At 42.7% G+C, this 17,918-nt stretch overlaps 1 protein-coding gene across 11 annotated transcripts in view; it reads right to left on the minus strand.

The window, feature by feature from the left end:
- LUZP1 (leucine zipper protein 1) overlaps positions 1–17,918 on the minus strand; it is a 94,481-nt gene that overhangs the window by 6,270 nt on the left and 70,293 nt on the right. For all 11 annotated transcript variants that reach the window (XM_047429992.1, XM_047429993.1, NM_001395461.1 and 8 more), the window contains one exon: positions 1,279–4,469. In XM_047429992.1, coding sequence (XP_047285948.1) covers positions 1,279–4,350 — 3,072 coding nt within the window. In that variant the 5' untranslated portion in view covers positions 4,351–4,469. The remainder of the gene's footprint in view (positions 1–1,278; positions 4,470–17,918) is intronic.

A 17,918-nucleotide genomic window follows, 5' to 3' on the forward strand; every position in this document is an offset into this window, starting at 1 on the left:
CACCACACCCAGCTAATTTTGTATTTTTAGTAGAGACGGGGTTTCACTATATTGTCCAGGCTGGTCTTGAACTCCTGACCTTGTGATCCGCCTGCCTTGGCCTCCCAAAGTGCTGGGATTACAGGTGTGAGCCACCACGCCTGGCCAGAATTCTACCTTTTTAATATTCTCCTTGGTTCTCCCAAGCAAATGCAGATCAAAGAATAACATAGGCATGAGTAAGAAAGGTTAGAGTAGAAAGAGCATTGGATTTAGAGACAGGAATCTTGGATTCAAGTCTTCGCTCTTCCAGTAATTCTGCTGGGTGACCTTAGGTAAGATATTTTGTGTTTCTGACCCTTAGCTTCTACATCTGAAAAATGGGGATAATATCTGCCCCCAGGCAGATATTCAAGGGACTGAATAAGATAGTGGGTAGTGAAGTACTTTTGTCCAGTGTTAAGTACCCTGTAAAGAGTCACAGGGCTTTTCAAGTTAACAGAGTCATCTGCTTTTTTAAAGAAGGGAGCACTGTGTCCAGGTCCAAGAAGTTTTTCATCATCACAGGTTTCTCATCAAAAAGACACTCCCAGGGGCTTCTCCAGATGCTGTTCTGACACCCTGAGCCTCACACTCACATAAGGCAGGTGGTTCTGGATTTATCAAAGCTGTAATGAGCTATACTGAACCAGCCCTGCCCTCAGACTGATAATATGAGACAGACAGCTGTCTGGGGGGCAAAAGAAAGTGTCACTTGGAATTGGGTATACGCTTATCTAAAATAGGCCCAGTGTAAGCCCCGGCTCTCCTCATCCCTGAGAGGCCAGCAGCCTGTGAAGATCTGCTAACTGAGGCGGCCGAGAACTTGCTGACCTGGCTCCCCCTCACTGTGCCCTACAGAAAGGGCACCGGGCCTCCTCCTGTTGCCCAGAGCTCCCCATCAGCTGCAGCTGCTTCTTGTGCTTTTCATGCTGTTCTGAGGGCCTACGGGGAGCTCCTTTAGCTGCTCTGGCAAACCAAGGGAAGAGAAGACAGATTTCCTTTTTATGTCACCTTCATATACGAGAGCAAAATGAAGACAACAAATTGGAAAAGGGATTTTGGAAAGTGATGCTGCCAAAAACCTTCTTTAGGAGAAAGGTCAAACCCCCCTGATTTTTCAACAGTTCTCTAAGGAACCCAGTTCTACTCAGTTCTCAAGATCCTGGGTCACACAGGCCAGAGCAGAGGGGAAAAAGGAAAAGGCAAAGAAGGAAAAGGGAGGGAGAAAAGAGAGAGGGGAGAGAGGCTGGAACTCACCATGCTTGCTGAGTGGTTCCAGGCTGCGACAGTGATGGTGTCTCCTACCCGATTCCGACGGGTAAGCACCTCTGACACAGTGAGGCTACTTTGGGTCCTTCTGGAGGAGGGCTCAGGGGCATCCCCTGAACTTGGTCCTACCCTTCGAGTGCCCTGCTCAAAAAGGCAGGACCTGGGCTGTTCGAGTTCTGAGAAGTCTGTGGAAGACCTCTGGGTGTAGGCATTGCTATTGGTAGATTCCACGTTTTTACCTATTCGAGTTGGGGGGTCTTCTAAAGATTTCAAGTCTCGCCTACTCTTCCAGGCATTCCGCACAGTAACATGTCTGGCATCTGAGAAGCCCACTTCTGAAGGGGCACTATGGCTTTTCCACCTGATTGTCTCCGCTGGAGGTGCATGGCTATTCCTCTCCACAGGATCCGATGGCTTGATTATAATGCTGCTCCGAGAGACCACTGTTTCTGGCCTGTCCTTCAGGGGCCCATCTGCCATTCTCTCCGCTTCTGCAAGCTGCAGGGTGATGTCATGTTTGTGAATGGAGAGCTCAAAAGGGGAGCTGACATGGTTGCTAACTGATGTGAGCTCTGCCAGCCCCACCTGGATATTGCTAGTGGATGTGTGCCTCTCCCTCAGGGCCTCACCCGGAGCAGCTCTGGGGCTGCTGCTGTCAGATGGATATATAGTAATGCTACTTGTCACTTTGTTTGGCCCTGGTTTGGAGACGGGTTTCTGTTTCTCCAACGTAGTCTCTGTTCCAGATCCTCCCATGATTTTTTTCACATCCTTATCAACAATAACAGGTTTGATGATGGCTCTAGACCGCAACGCCTCTCTGGGGCTAAAGGGCCTTTGGCTTTTTACCCCAGCACCATTGGTATCTGGGAGCTCCATGGTATTGGTGGAGGCTCTGACAGATTTCACAGATTCATTCTCCATTCCAGCATCTTTATCATTCTCAAATAGGGAGGTTCTAGGTGCCCCTCGGGTTTTAGCCTTTTCTCTAGAGTTAGGCTGTGGTTTGGGCTCTGGCTCTGGAGTGATGGTTGTATTTACCAACTTGGCAGTAACAAGAGATGCTATGTCCAAGTCATCATCTGAGTCTGGCTTCTCTCTGCCACTGGATTTGATGACTCGACACCTCAAGGCTTCATGCGGACTGCTGTCTTCCATCACAACTGCTGCAGGTTGATTAACCCCTTCTTTATGTGAGGTTGAAAATCCCTGAAGGATGTTCTCTTGGCTTCTACAGCTATAAGGATACTTCGATAGAACAGGAGCCTTGGAATTCGGGCAACTGTTATCAGCCTCAAGGCCATTGGCAGCCTTTTTGCCTTTAGAGAGCCCTTCTGAGGAGGATCTTCGAGATGAGGCCAGGGCTCCAATGGCCTTAGAACAGCCAGAGTTTGCAGCCTGAGTTACTTGACTTCCGTTGCCAAGCACGTGTCCCCTCTTGCCAAAGACAGTCTCAGAGGAGGTGTCAGAAGCCTTGTCAGCTCTACCCAATGGGTCACTGGGAACAGATCCATGGGTGGTGTCACTAAACGTTCGTGTTGTCTTCTCCACTTTTCCCTTCAGTCCGCTCTCGGTGCCTGGCTTGGAAGTCCCCTTCCACGCTTTACTGTGCTCCTGAGCAGCCGGGGGGTAGCGACTCAGCACTGAGGGCTGCTCCCTAGACTTCTTCCCTTCGCTCTGGGAGGAGCCGGGTACAAACCGGTCTTCAGTTTTCTTTGTCTCCTGAGTCCCACTGTCTGTACTCACCCCCATGTGAGAAGCTTTTGCTGCCCTCCTGTTGGTGAAACTGGGAGAAGAAACCTGCCTGTTGCTCAGAGAATAGTTTTCATTGTTGAGAGCAAACTCCCTGTTCCGGAGTCGTTCCCGCTTATGCTGAGGAGACAGTTCCCGCGCTGTGTGCTTGGACACAGAAGCTTCACTTCCGTGGCCTCTAAACTTAGTCCTCTCATGTCTGCCTTTGCTGGACAGGAAAGCATCTTCCCCTTCTACCTCTCCATTTTCTAACTCTTTCTGTTTCTTGATTTGTAGCTTTATCTCCTCCAGTTGGCTGGCTAATAATTTGTTTTTATTTTGTTCACTTAGGTAATTATCCTGAAGGTCGTTATTTTTGGACTTCATTTTCTTAAGCTCTTCTTCCAACGATTCAAAGTGTTTGATTTGTGTCTTAAGTTTCTCAATCTCTTGGTTAAGGTCTTTGACTTTGTTGTCTTCCTGATTGCGGTTCTTTTCATTTTCTGATTTGTTTCTTGTTTCATTCTCTACCTGCTTTAGGTAGTCCAGACCACCCTTCCTTCTTGATTCTTTGGACGGCAGTGTGGAAGAGATGCCATCCTCAATCCGTAGGTCATTTCTTTCCAGATTAGAAGCATTCCTTGTATAATCTCGGTTCATTTTTTTGTTCTGCTCTAGTTTTTGAGTGAGTTCTTTTATCAATTTCTCATTTTCTTTCTCCTTTTCATTCAAGTATTTTCTCTCACTTACAAAGCTCAGAGTTAATGATTTCAGCTTTTCTAACTCTGACGCTAAACTCTGCTCAGTTTTATCCAGGCGGTCCTCAGAAGATTCTAGTTCTTTCACTTTGACTCTGAGCATTTCCAGCTCAGAGGAGATTTTCTTGGTCAGATTTCTCTCCTCATTCAGGCTCAGACACAGCTGGGTACAGTCATTCTTACTCCTGCTGAAGGCCTCTTCTAGCTTCTCTAATTCAGCCATTCGTTTCTGAAGCCGCTCAATCTCAGATTTCAGCTCCCGGGTGAGGTTTTCTTCCTCTTCAAGTTTCTCCTTCATCAGACGACACAGATCCTCTGCTCTCTTAATTTCCTCGTCTTTGCCTTCAATTCTCAGCACCCGCTGGCGCAGCACTTCAATCTCCGCCAACATGCTGGAGTTGCTACCTTCTGCCTGAATCACCTTGTCCTGGAGATCCAGGAGTTCATCCTCTGCTTTCTGGAGGTTTTTTGTGGCTTCCTCCAACTCATCAAGGCGGCGGCTTAGACTCTGTAGCTTAAACCGCAAGTGGCGGCTGGAGGCCGTCTCCTTGTAGCTTGTAAATTCGGCCATGTCTACTGCCAGCCAATGTGGGCTCCTAGAGGCATCCAATTCCACTCAAGGGGATGAGAAATGGTTACCTTTCTCTTGGCAACCACAATCTTCTTTGACAGCTGGAGACCATCATCAATCTACAAAAGGAAAGTAGAAAGCATGTCAGTCAGCAAATGTAAAACCTGCACGTTAGCTCCCAGTTATAGAAAAGTGCTCCTATCTGTTCCTGGTGCCTGGATCATAGCAGGGGCTCAAACCTGTTGAATGAATGACTTGAATAAACCTGCAAGAAAACACTGGTTCTTTATGGCCGATATTGAGTTGATACCTCATTTCGCCCTAATAAAGAATGTCACCAGTGGCAGCATGGCAAAAAGACATATAAGAAGCCTCAATTTTCATGGCAGGGTATAATAACATCATTACCATCTGCAACCTGCATAATCTCAGGAGAGTCATTAACAATGGAAACTAAGTCTCAGTTTTACTTAGTGGTAAAATGGGCATAATGATGTCTACCGTATTTCTCCCCAGTGTTGTTCTGAGATAATATGTGGAAGATCTTGGTAACAAAGCAATAAACAATCCTAAGATTTTTTTTTTTAAAGATTATCTCTTATGAGCTATTGTGACTTAAAAGTGATACAAATTAACCCTCTGCCTTGCTATAAATGGTGAGCTTCACAATATACTAAAACAATCTCTCTACACCCATTTTCAACATCTCTTCTCCCAAAAGTATATTTGTAAGTGGAATTCAGGTGTGAGTTGGCCCGACCCAGCCAACAGGCAGCTTCTACAAAACATATCCTTTTGCACTGTAAAAGAAATGCCCCAGATGTTAAGGTTGGTATGAAGACTGGTTTGTTTCTTTGAAAGCCATTTCACTGGGGATATATACCAAACATATAATAATACCCCAAGGAAATAGAGAAAGGGGAAGGTTTAGTTTTTTTATGTAATTTTCTCATTTTTAAAACAGGAGAATGGATTGATAAATGTATTTTAAACAGCTTTCATGAACAATAAGTCCTACGAAATTAAAAGGCAAACAACAGACTTCCATTTCCACCACTACAGCAAACCAGATAACCTGGAAAACCTCTAATACTATAAAACAGCTAAAAATACTGAATAAAATGTAACAATCACTTAAAATGTATAGTTGATCACATAGAAAGTAAGTGACATTCCAGCTAAAACCAGAGGAAAAGAAAACTAAATGAAAAATAATAGTAAGTTTAAACTACCACTGAGCTGTCCTTCTTAGGGTCTTGCCGATCTCCAGAACCAAGGAGTTTGGGTTCTAACAATCATGCAGGTATAAGAGGCAAGAGTTTGGGCTCAATAGAGGTGGTAAGTTGAAAATGAGACTCCAGTCCCCAATCTAAAGCAAGGATTATTGAAGAACTACAGCTCCAGGATAACTAGTGAAAAAAGTCACCTCCCTGATATAGGGAGATAAGAGGACCCGGGCTCTATTAGGGGTTAAAGGAGGATTATCCCTAGAGAATTTATAATCTTAGACCTGCTCTCACTTGAATTCAGAGTTCAAATTTATACCATCTGAGTGGTCTAGAACCTATCTGTCCTGAGAAACTAACATAAAATGGCCATCAGCCTAGTAATATCCCTGGGAAACCTAGCTGAGCAAACAAAAGTACTCTGGAGGGAGCCACTCTCTACAGAGGTCACACAGGATTCCCACAGATTAAAGTCCAGCTGAACCTGAGCTTATAACTAAAAATTACAAAACACATAAAGATCCATCTTTTACTTGACTGGGCAGAGCAAGTCAAGTAAAAAAGAACCAAAGTTACTAAGATTATTGGCTAGAGACCATACAATAAGTACATTCCAATGTTTAAAGTCATAAAAGAAGGAATGAAAAAAAAAAAAAACAGGAGAAAGGAACAAGGTGCTATCAACAAAGATCAGAAGATCTGAAAGTTAACTAAATACAACAGCTAGAAACAGAGAAGAGAAATGGCATATTAGAGGCAAAGGAAGATATTAATAGTGGTCAAGAGAGATACGTAATTACAAAGAGCAGCACAGAGTTAAAAAGATGGAAAAGGTAAAAGAGAGGTTAACAGATGGGGAAATAATTAAAAAGGTCCAAAACAAGGAAGTTTTAACAGGCAGCCCAAAAGGATAGAATACAGAATAGGGAACAGGCAATATTTGAAGAGCTAGCAGGTAAGAATTTTCAAGAGTTGATTAAAGATATGGACCTCACATTCAGGAAGCAATGTCCCAACAGGAGAAAACTAAATCTGCACCTAGGATTTAGGATCGGAAGAATCCTAAATCCTCGTAAGGATACGGAAGAATGTATCACAAACAGAAAATCTTTAAAAAGAAAAAAGAAAAAAAGACCATTGTCTCAGTCCATTTGTGCTGCTGTAATAAAATACCTGAGGTAGTAATTTATAAGAACAGAAACTGGCCAGGTGCGGTGGCTCACGCCTGTAATCCCAACATTTTAGGAGGCTGAGGCAGGAGGATCACTTGAGGTCAGGAGTTCAAGACCAGCCTGAACAACATGATGAGACCCCATCTCTACTAAAAATACAAAAATTAGCCAGGTGTGGTGGTGCACACCTATAATCCCAGCTACTTGGGAGGCTGGGGCACGATAATTGCCTGAACCCACGGGACGGAGGCTGCAGTGAGCTGAGATCGCGCCACTGCACTCCAGCCTGGTCGACAGAGCAAGACACCATCTCCAAAAAGAACAGAAATTATTTCCTCACAGTTCTGGAGCCTGGGAATATAAGATCAAGGCACCAGCAGGTTTAGTGTCTGCTGAAGGCCCAGTCTCTGCTTCCAAGATGACACCTAGAATGCTGTTTCCTCACAGGGAAGAAGGAATGGAACAAAAAGGGTTGAACTTGCTCCCTCAGGCCCTTTTTTAAAGGTGCTGATCCCTAATACTATCTCCTTAAAGGTCCTACCTCTTAATGCTGTTGCACTGGGGGTTACGTTTCAACACGAATTTTGGAGGAAGCAAAAACATCCCAAACACAAAAACAATCTATAATAACAACTGAACCACTTCTCAGCAGAAACTTTTAAGTAGGTGGCAAGTAGAATGGACTACAGGGGATAAGGTTGGGAGCAGGAAGACCAAATAGGAGGCTATTGCAGTAATCCAGGCAAAACATAGTTATGGCCTAGACCAGGATGGTGGCAGTACATGCGTTCCAAGAGCACGTGACCAAGACAGTTGAGAAATGGTCAGAATTCTGGCCGTATGAAGGCACGACCAAAAGATCTGCTCTTAGACTACATGTGAAGCATGAGGCAAAGAAAGGAATTAAGAAGCCGAGTGCAATGACTCATATCTATAATCCCAGCACTTTGAGAAGCTGAGGTGGAGTTCAACACCAGCCTGGGCACAACACAGTAAGATCCCGTCTCTATAAAAAAAGGTAAAATAAAATAAAATTAGAAGGTACAGTGGCATACACCTGTAGTCCCAGCTACTTGGTAGGCTGAGGCAAGAAGACAGCTTGAGCCCAGGAGTTTAAGGTTCCAGTGAGCTATGACTGTGCCACTGTACTCCAGCCAGGGTGACAGAGCAAGACCCTATCTCTAAATAAATAAGCAGATAGACAGATAGATAGATAGGAATTAAGGTAGACTCTAAGGTGGCTGGGCTGAATTTGTAGAGGGACAGCATTACCATCAATTCAAATGGAGATGACCGCAGATGGAGCAGTCTGAGAAGGAAGATGAGGAGTCTCATTTGGGACATGTGTATGAGATGTATATTAGATGTATAAGGGCCCACTTGAAATTCCTGGTAATGATTTAAAGTGAAACCAATCCACAAAGTTCTTTTTCTCCAGTCTTGTTCAGCTGGCTGAACAGACAAAAGAATAGAGAAACCAGAATTGGACTGAACCAGATCGAAGCACTGCAGAACAAAGCAAAAGAAGGACAGGAGAGCAGAGGATGTGTGTGAGGGACTTTAAATTCACTCAGTACAGAAGGAGGTGAAGAATAGTGAAAATATAATAGAAACTAATGAAGTGAAGGTCCCAAGGGGACTTGAAGGCTTGTTGGAGTAAGGGTACCAGGTACCAGAGGAAACTAAGCCTGAAATATAGAAGAAAGAAATCAGAGAGGGACTTCAAGGAATTGAAATCATGGAGGGACTGTAGTTATTGATAATGTCAAAAACGAAGGTATAATCATAGGAATCCTGTGGGGGAGTAGGGAGAAGTAGAGAACAAGATCATTAGAAGAGAGAAATAATTGAGAGGTAAAGGTGTTGCAAGGGTCACCAGCATGTAAGCGCCATAAATTAACAGGAATAATGCTGGAAAGAGTGACGTTAAGACAGAATCTGAAGTTGTTGAGAAGTTAGGGGCAGTGACTCAGGGCGTCGACAGACGGCAGCAACGATAGAGTATTAGGTGATGTCGTCCAATAAGATCACATTTAAAAATCAAGGACAAGAGTGAAGAAACAGTCTGAGACATAAGAGAAAAACAGCCACCACTGGAGAGGGAAGAAATGACTCCAACAATGATCCTATGAGAAAGCTCAGGGCAAAAGAAAAACAACTGAAATTGGGCCTGGAGGAGACGCCAAATGCCAATTCTCTCCAAGCCTGATTCTTCTAATGGCTGCACTATAAGCCTAGAACCACCAGATGGAGCCCAAGCTCAGCTCCTCAAAAACACCAACGCTTGAAGGTGTTGAAAAAACCAAGCCTTCCGCTTCCATTCAGATTCTGCCCACCCCGAATACTGCTCCCTGTCCATCACTCTGCTTCTCTGGGTACATCTTTCTCTGTCCTCTCATCTTTGCCTCTTTTGGTCCCCCTTCTCCTTTCCCCAGCCTACCTGCTTCCTCATTCTCAAAAACGGAGAGGGAAAAAACCTCCTATAGTTTATGTTTTTAAAAAGAAAGCTTTTCCCTTTTAAAAACTCTTGCATTTGGCCTTCTGCCCAGTGGTACAATTAAAATCTTGTCAATGTATACACAGGGTTGGTTTGGGAGGACTTAATTAAGTTTAGACCACACACCAATTTTAAATGAGTGTATGATACAAAGGGTCTGTGTTGCCATCGTAGTCATTGGAAGACAAATGATATATGATTCATCTATAAAGTGCTTTAAAACAGCATATCCTCATAAATATGCTTAAACCATTAAATTGTGTATTTTAAAGAGATAAACTTCATGATAAATAAAGCATATCTCAATAAAGCTGTTAAAGAAAACCCAGCTTATCCTCAAACTGTAGCATTCTCTCAGCACATCTTATTTGTACTAGCTTATACTATAGTTTTCACAATCTCTTTTTCAAAAGAAGGAAACGTTAAACCTTAGTATAGCCCCATCTATAAATTATCATAATTCTGAATTCAGAGAGTCTGGGAATTATACCACCGTTTTATTTATTTGGCTTTTAGTGCCAATTTTATATGTTTTATCAAGACTCTGGATGATATGAATCAACTAGTACAGGCAATGAAAAAGCTAAACCCAGTAAATATGTAGCAAATACTTACTGGAAACATACAGAGAAAGCAGGTATTACACACCACTGCTTAAAACTCTCTAAAGGTCCTGGCTACTATTAGGATAAAGTCCAAATTCCCCATGATGGCACCCAAAGCCCTTCATGATGTGGCCCCGCCAGCCTCTTCATCTACATCCTCGCCCTCCCTCTTCCCTCTGGTCCCTCACTAGTTTGATTCCTTCTCATTTCTTCAGATCCCACTTTAGACAATACATCCTTCTGGAAAATTCTGGAGTGCCTTCTTCAAACCCCAGGCCAGATCTGGGCCTCTCTTTTTTGCTTTCACAGTCTGCTACATATTTCCCATCACAGAACCTATCACACTCTATTGCAGCTTTATTTACTCAATTCTTCTCTCCAACTTGTGTCACCACTATATTCTCAGTACCCAGCAGGGAGCCTAGCACACAGGGAATGCTGAAAATTCGATGAATTTGACTGATGAGTGAGCCTCCTAATTATCAAATAGCTTGTCGGCCCTTTGGCAATGACCATTAACAGAAAATAATAAGAATGTCCATGACCTAATCATGGATTACAAAGGAGAAAACAGATGGCAAGAGTGAACAGACAGCACAGAATCTCAGGCCCTGTGGTAATGCTCTGAATGATCTCATCCCTAGCCCTGTGCCACTTGCACAATGTCTCAACCACAATTCTCTCCCCCTGACCTGCTGGGAAGCCCTTTCTTGCAGGTCTATGCCACACAAACAGGACATAGACATCAAAAAACCACAACACTCACAGGATGTTCAGCTCTAGTTATCGGACCAAATGTTGGAGAAGTAGTAGAAAACATTTCTGGATCTTCCTCCACTCCTCAGAATGAGATTTCAGAGCCAGAAGGTAGCTAAAGATCATTTAGTCAACTGGTTTTCAAACTAGACTCAGCAAATCCCCTTGGGGTCATTTAGGGGAAAGACAACAGGGGAGATATTTTGAGCAGGCTGAACTCCAGGCTCCTTTCACTTACTCAACCAAAGCAACTGATTTTTAGCTTCTTACAATATTGGGCTTCTCCTATATGACTTTATTAAAGAATTCTACATAGCTTTTATTTAAAATAAAATCACTTACTTCATTCAAACCCCTTATTTTAGAAACAAGGAAACGGACTCAGAAGTAAATACTGTGCTTTTTCCAGCAGTTTAGCAAAAGTCAAGGACTTCAGTCTCCTGACTCTATGTTCAGGATTCTTCCCATTATGCAAAATCACCTCCTTATAAACTCTTAAGCATTTTTACAAAATGAGGAGTTCTAAGCACTACTCTATAAACAAACTAACAATGACAAAAGAGTATAAAGGAACAAATAAGTACAACCACAAATAGGGCAGTACTATACTACAGGCAATACTAAGTACCTTATATACATGATTTCTGCAGGTATCAGGAATCTCAGATCATTTACTTTACATGTTCCTACGTTACTCCACGGAGGTTTTCCCTCAATGTCCACACAAAAACAATATGGTAATCCCTGGACATGTAAAATGCTTAGCAGAATACCTTGCACATAAGTCACAACAAACAGTAAGCTACTACTATTATTCTATTCAGCTTTCACAATAACCTTATGGGGCAAGGACTCTCAAATTTTCCCAAAGTACGCAGCTAGCAAGGACAGTCAGAGTGAATCTAGGTCCAATTCCAAAGTTTATATTCTTTTAAGAATACCATACTGTTTGGCCAAGTCACTGATTTTCTCTATGCTTTAGTTCCTCTGAAAAAATAAAAGAATATCAACTACCTTACAGCAACACTATGCAATAAAGTTAGCAAAAGCACTTTGAAAAGTCCTATGCATACCTAAAGTAAGTTTCATCAGGGAAAATCCTCCTAAAAATAGTGATTCACTAAGATCATCCCTTCTCCCCAGAGTAAACAAGGAACTAGACTGAAAATGGGGTTAGGAGGTCACTTATCTCTGACCTTTTGGCCCTAAGTAGCCAGGATAAGAAATGCTTTGCTACCTCCTGGATCATCCAAAAGCAAAGTAGACACCTCTCTTTCTACTGCCTCCCTTACTCTGTGTTAAGTATGTTTATCCAGGCAAAATTCATTTATTTAGCAGACATTTATAGAACACCTATGATGCACCCAGCATTTTGCCAAGATAAGTAGAAAATCTTACCCTTGCCTTTAAGGAATCATACAGATATAACCAATCATAAAACTATGATAAAGAAGCCTTCCCTGACCATCTTACATAAGATAGCACCCACCCTTTTGCATCCTGTCTTCTATCCTGCTTTTTTTTTTCCTTAGCATATTGTATCATCATACATATAACCGGAAGCTCAGAAGAAGTGATTAAATGTGCCTAAGGGTGGGGTCTGGGAAGGAAACTGTTTATATTAAACCTTGGGAAACCATAAGAAGGTTTTTACAAAGGGAAGGACAGTCTCACTTTTCATGCCACCCCTACATTAGTACCTGGCTCAGTTCTAATTCACGCTAGCAACATACAGTGCCAACTGTCTCTCATTCAGGGCTCTTTCTATCAAAGTTCCTGAACCCAGTTCCAAGTGGCCCCATCCAGCATTTTGGAGGGTGGCTCTTCTTCCTGTCCTGGCAGATCAGGAAGGTCTGAAATAGAACATAATCAGGCCTGCCCTGCCCCTTCTCCCAACACAGCTGCCATGATTCACTTCCTGTTCCCAATAGTCATTTAAAGAGGGGTCGGCAAACTTTTTTTTAAAAAGTTTGATAGTATACACATAAGTATGCAAACTTAGTTTGAGAGTAAATATTTTAGGCTTTATAGGATCTAAGGTTTCTATTCCAGCTACTGAACTCTGACAATGTAGTGATGAAGCAACCACATATATACTGTACAGAAGTGAATGAACATAACTATGTTTCAATTAAACTTGATTTAAAAAAACAGGCAGTGGGCAGGGCATGGTAGCTCATGCCTGTAATCCCAGCACTTTGGTAAGATGAGCGGGGAGGATTGCTTGAGGCCAGGAGTTCAAGGCCAGTCTTGGCAATACTGCAAGACCCTGTCTCTACTTAAATAAACCATTAAAAATTTAAAAAGCAAAAGACAGTGGGCCTGTCTGCCAGAATTTGCCAATCTCTGATCTAAAGGATAATAGGAGCTTTTATTTTATTTTATATTTCATTTCATTTCATTTTTCATTTCATTTCATTTGATTTCATTTCTTTTTTTATTGAGACAGGGTCTACCAGGCTGTCATGCAGTGGAGCAATCACAGCTCACTGCAGCTTCTACCTTCTAGCCTCAAGCAATCCTCCCACCTTAAGTCTCCCAAGCAGCTGGGACTCAGACACATGCCACCATGCCTGGCTAATTTTTCTCATTTTTTTTTTTTGTAGAGAAGGGGTCTCTATGCTGACCAGGCTGGTCCCAAACTCCTGGACTCAAGCCATCCTCCCACTTCGCCCTTCGAGCCTTCTAAAGTACTGGGATTACAGACGCGAGCCACCGCCCCTGGCCAAGAGCTATTTTCAAGCAGCTTCCTCCTGACCACTTGTAGTTACCTGTTTTAAAATCTTAGGCTGTCTAAGCCTCACCATCAACTCTTGCACATTTCTATCTAATTACAGGGCTTACATTATTTTTCCCAGAATCACAAATTCATGTATTTTGGATACGCAAACTCAAGAGTGAGGGACCCAGCTAGCATACAGAGATTCTTCATGTTGGAAAGGATTTAGAGATCATCTAGTCCAACCTCCCACTCAATGCGGACGTTATCTAGCAAGTAGTTACTCAGCTTCCGTTCAAACACTTCTAATGACAAGAATGACAGTCACTTCCTCCCAAGACAACTCACTCCATCTTTGGACAGCTCTAAGGTAAGATACCCTACTTATTTTTCTTCTTGGCACATTTAACCACCTGATTACTTGTAAATTTATTTACATTGATTCTTCTTACCAGAAAGTAGGATGCATGAGGTCAGAAGTGTAGTTTTTTGTGTTTGTAATTTTTTTATTGCTGTATTCCCCGCCCCTTGAACAGTGCCTAGTACATAAAGAGTATAATATAGTTGTTTATTGGGAAGGAGGGAGGGAGGAAGAGAGGGAGAGAGGGAGGGAGGGAGGGAGGGAGGGAGGGAGGGAGGGAGGGAGAGAGGGAGAGAGGGAGGGAGGGGGGAAGGAGGGAGGGAGGGGGGGAAGGAGGGAGGGAGTGAACAAGCTAACAAAACAATGCTGTATTCGGGGAATTTAATTCAGCATGGCTGACACCAGAGACACAAGGGGAAGAGCAATTAACTGGTAAGGTCTCTGTGGTAGGTTTGAGGCCCCTGAAATGTCACAGTAAGTTCAGAGGCTGAGGGTGTACTGTTTGAGGAACATTCCCTTATCTCCTTTCCTTCCAAGCCCCCACAACCCACAGCCATTCCGATGGTAAACATCTTTTTTTCTTTTTCTTTTTTTTTTTTTGAGACGGAATCTCGTTCCATCGTCCAGGTTGGAGTGAAGAGGCACGATCTCAGCTCACTGCAACCTTCGTTTGCTGGGTTCAAGGGATTCTCGAGAACTGCCTCAGCCTCCCGAGTAGCTGGGATTACAGGTGTGCGCCACCACGCCCAGCTAATTTTTCTATTTTTAGTAGAGACAGGTTTCACTATGTTGCCAACACTGGTCTTGAACTCCTGACCTCAAGTGATCCACAAGCCTCGGCCTCCCAAAGTGCTGGGATTACAGGTGTGAGCCACCACGCCTGGCCCAATGGTAAACATCTTTTAATGCATCTGTTCTCTGAGGCCTTTTCAAACCATCCTTCCCCGCAAGAGAAATGCACCATCCTAAATTCTGTAGATGCTTCTATCACTATATCCATGATACTTAAAATATCTGTCATCCTCTGCTGGGCTCTGAGAGCAGGGACTGTGTTATCTTCATTTTTCAGTCCTGGGCACTGAATACAGTGACAGGGGCAAGGTAGGAACCTTATAAATGTTTTGTAAATAAATTAATGTAATAGTTTTATTGTATTCTGTACTGGCCAAATTTACATAAAGGGGACTATTTTCAGATCTAGGCACTACATTCTAGGAAAGATGCTTAGCCTTTATGCCAGAGGCTGAAATGCAGGTGCCAAAGAGATCAGGCCAATGATTTAAATGAGTTAAAGGGCCTAGAAGGACTATGGCTAAGAGGGGCTATGCCCTACTTTTATATATAATCTCTTAAATGTAGCCAATGAATTCAGATTTCAAAAAAGAGGAAATAAAAAGAATACCACTGTATAGTCCCTCCAAAACATACATGCCTGCAAGTGGATATGGGAAGCAAATTTGCAACCTGTATTGGACAAAGGGATTAAGTAAGAGAGTAACACAATCAGAACTGCAGTTTTTGAAAGGCCATTCTAGCAGGATAAACTAGGGTGCTATTGTAATAGTCAAGGCAAGAGATGGGATAAGGGCCTGAACCAGGACAGTAGCAATGGGGTAAAAGGGTGGGATGGATGAAAGATGACCTGGTCTGCCCAGTTCTAATAATGAAGTCCAAGATTGCATGAACGAATCTGATAGCCACAGTACCAATTTGTAGGTTCATACTGGCTTTGTTTCCAAATAAACTGTTAAATCTCATTTTTAATAATTGAAATATGGGGCTTAATTCTTTTGCAGGCAACGTGATACAATGATTAAAGTTTACGAACTCTGAAGCCAGGCAGCCTAAGTTCAAACCCTGACTTTATTAGCTACTAGCTGTGTGACCTTGGATAAGTCATTTGAATTCTCTATGCTTCAATACCTATAAGGTTATGGTATGTGTAAATAAGTTAATGCAAGAATTGCTTAGACTAGTACCTGGTCTATAGTAAGTGTCATGTAAGTTTCAGCTTAAATTATTATTTATTATTTTTGGATTTCAACTTCTTAGTTTCAATCCCTTGACTAAATATTCTCTACACTGTCTAGCCTGCAAACATTCGCTATTTAAGTCTCATAGGCATGTCTTTTCTATATCTTCATCCAAATTGATGTTCAAAAACAAAATATAACCAAAATCATTAAAAACACCTCCTATAGATTAACACTGATCTATTACAATTCCTGAGTGCAACTATTCAAGAAGCTCCAAAGCCAGGTAAAATTTTTTTTTTTGTCTTGGGATCACATGAGAAAACATTAAATACCTAATGTTAGCACTTAAGACACATTACCTTTGTAGCACATTCCAATCCTCCAGCGACCTAGGAATCTTTCCAAAAATGAAATGCTCTGATATATATATCAAACTGCTATATGGTAATTATCTCTGGATAATGTGCTTTTTTTCTGTTTTTGCTTATGTCTATTCTCTAATATTTTTATACTGAACTTGTACCGATCGTTTAAATAAAATCATGGCAAGGCTTAAAGAAAAAAAAGAATTGTTATCAGCTAGCATGATTTATTCTTAGTGAACACAAGCTGGCTTCTAGGGATCACTGTTCTCATTCTTTGATCAATCAATTTTAGAATTTTACCAGAGATCACTGTCAAGTTTCCAATGACATCCTCAAACCCCTGTGACCCAGACGTTAACTCCAAATAAATCAAACACCTCTCAAATGGGCACAGTGGCTCATGCCTATAATCCTAGCGCACTTTGGGAGGCTGAGGCAGGCAGACAGCTTGAGCCCAGGAGTTCAAGACCAGCCTCGGCAACATGGTGAAACCCTTTCTCTACAAAAAATACAAAATTTAGCTGGGAGTGGTGGCATGCACCTGTAGTCCCAGCTTCTCAGGAGGCTAAGGTGGGAGGATCAACTGAGCCTGGGAGGTCGAAGCTACAATGAGCTGAGATCACACCACTATACTCCAGCCTGTGTGACAGAGTGAGACCCTGTCTCAAAAAACAAAACCAAAAATTTAAATTAAAAAAAAATCAAACAGGTCTATGGGGAGAATTAGAATTTGAGAGCCTTCAAAGTATGTCTAGAAGCCATTGCTTTCTGGTTAGCCACCACTACCACCCAGGTCCAACCTACCATCATCCCTGCCCTGGACTACTGATTACTGCAAAAGCTTCCTAACTTGTCTCCCTGCTCCCATCAGTGTCCATCCTTCCCCACCCTCCACAGTCTGTTCTCCCACAACAACCAGAGTAGGCCTTTTAAAACATCAGTCAGATCAAGTCACTCCTCTGCTCTAAGCTCTTTAGTGCACCTCACTTAGAATACAATGCACTCCAAAGGTGTCACATGGCTGTAAGGCCCTACATGATCTAGGTCCCATCACTCATCTGCTGCTCCTTCCCTACTACTCCAATCCAGCCACACGGCCTCCTTATGGGTCCTTATACATGACCAGTTACACTCATCCCTCAGAGATTTTATACCTGCTGTTCCCTCTGCCTAGGATGCTTTTCCCCCAGATATCTCCCTAGCTGGACTCCTCACTTCTTTTAGATCTTAGCTTAAAATATCACCTCATCAGAGGCCTTCCTTGATTGCTGTACATAAAGGAGCAATCCCTCAGCTCCCCACCACTATCACCTTACGCTGCTTTTTTGTCTTCTTAGCATGTACTATCTAGTGGATGTTATTTGTCTACTCACCTGTTTATTTATTTATATCTAATTATTCATTTTTATCTGTTTCCACCCATTAGAATATAATCCTTGAGAGAAAGGACTTTTTCTATTTTGTTTAATGCAGTATACTTAGTTCCGATAACTAAAGCGTGTAGTAAGTGGCCATTTTTTGTCATCAGAACATTAGCCCCAGTATATAGCAAAATATTTTATGTGTAATAGGTATGTGTAGGCTGGGTGCAGTGGCTCACACTTATAATCCCAGCACTCTGGGAGGCCAAGGTGGGCAAATCACCTGAGGTCAGGAGTTCAAGACCAGCCTGGCCAACATGGTGAAACCCTGTCTCTACAAAAAATACAAAAATTAGCCCAGGCGTGGTGGCACACACCTGTAATCCCAGCTACTCGGGAGGCTGAGACAGGAGAATCGCTTGAGCCCAGGAGGAGGAGGTTTGCAGAGGCAGTGAGCCAAGATCGCACCAGTGCACTCCAGCCTCGGCAACAGAGCAAGACTACGCCTTGCAAAAAATAAAAAAATACAG

Source organism: Homo sapiens, chromosome 1 (genome assembly GCF_000001405.40).
Source record: "Homo sapiens chromosome 1, GRCh38.p14 Primary Assembly".
Lineage (NCBI taxonomy): Eukaryota > Metazoa > Chordata > Mammalia > Primates > Hominidae > Homo > Homo sapiens.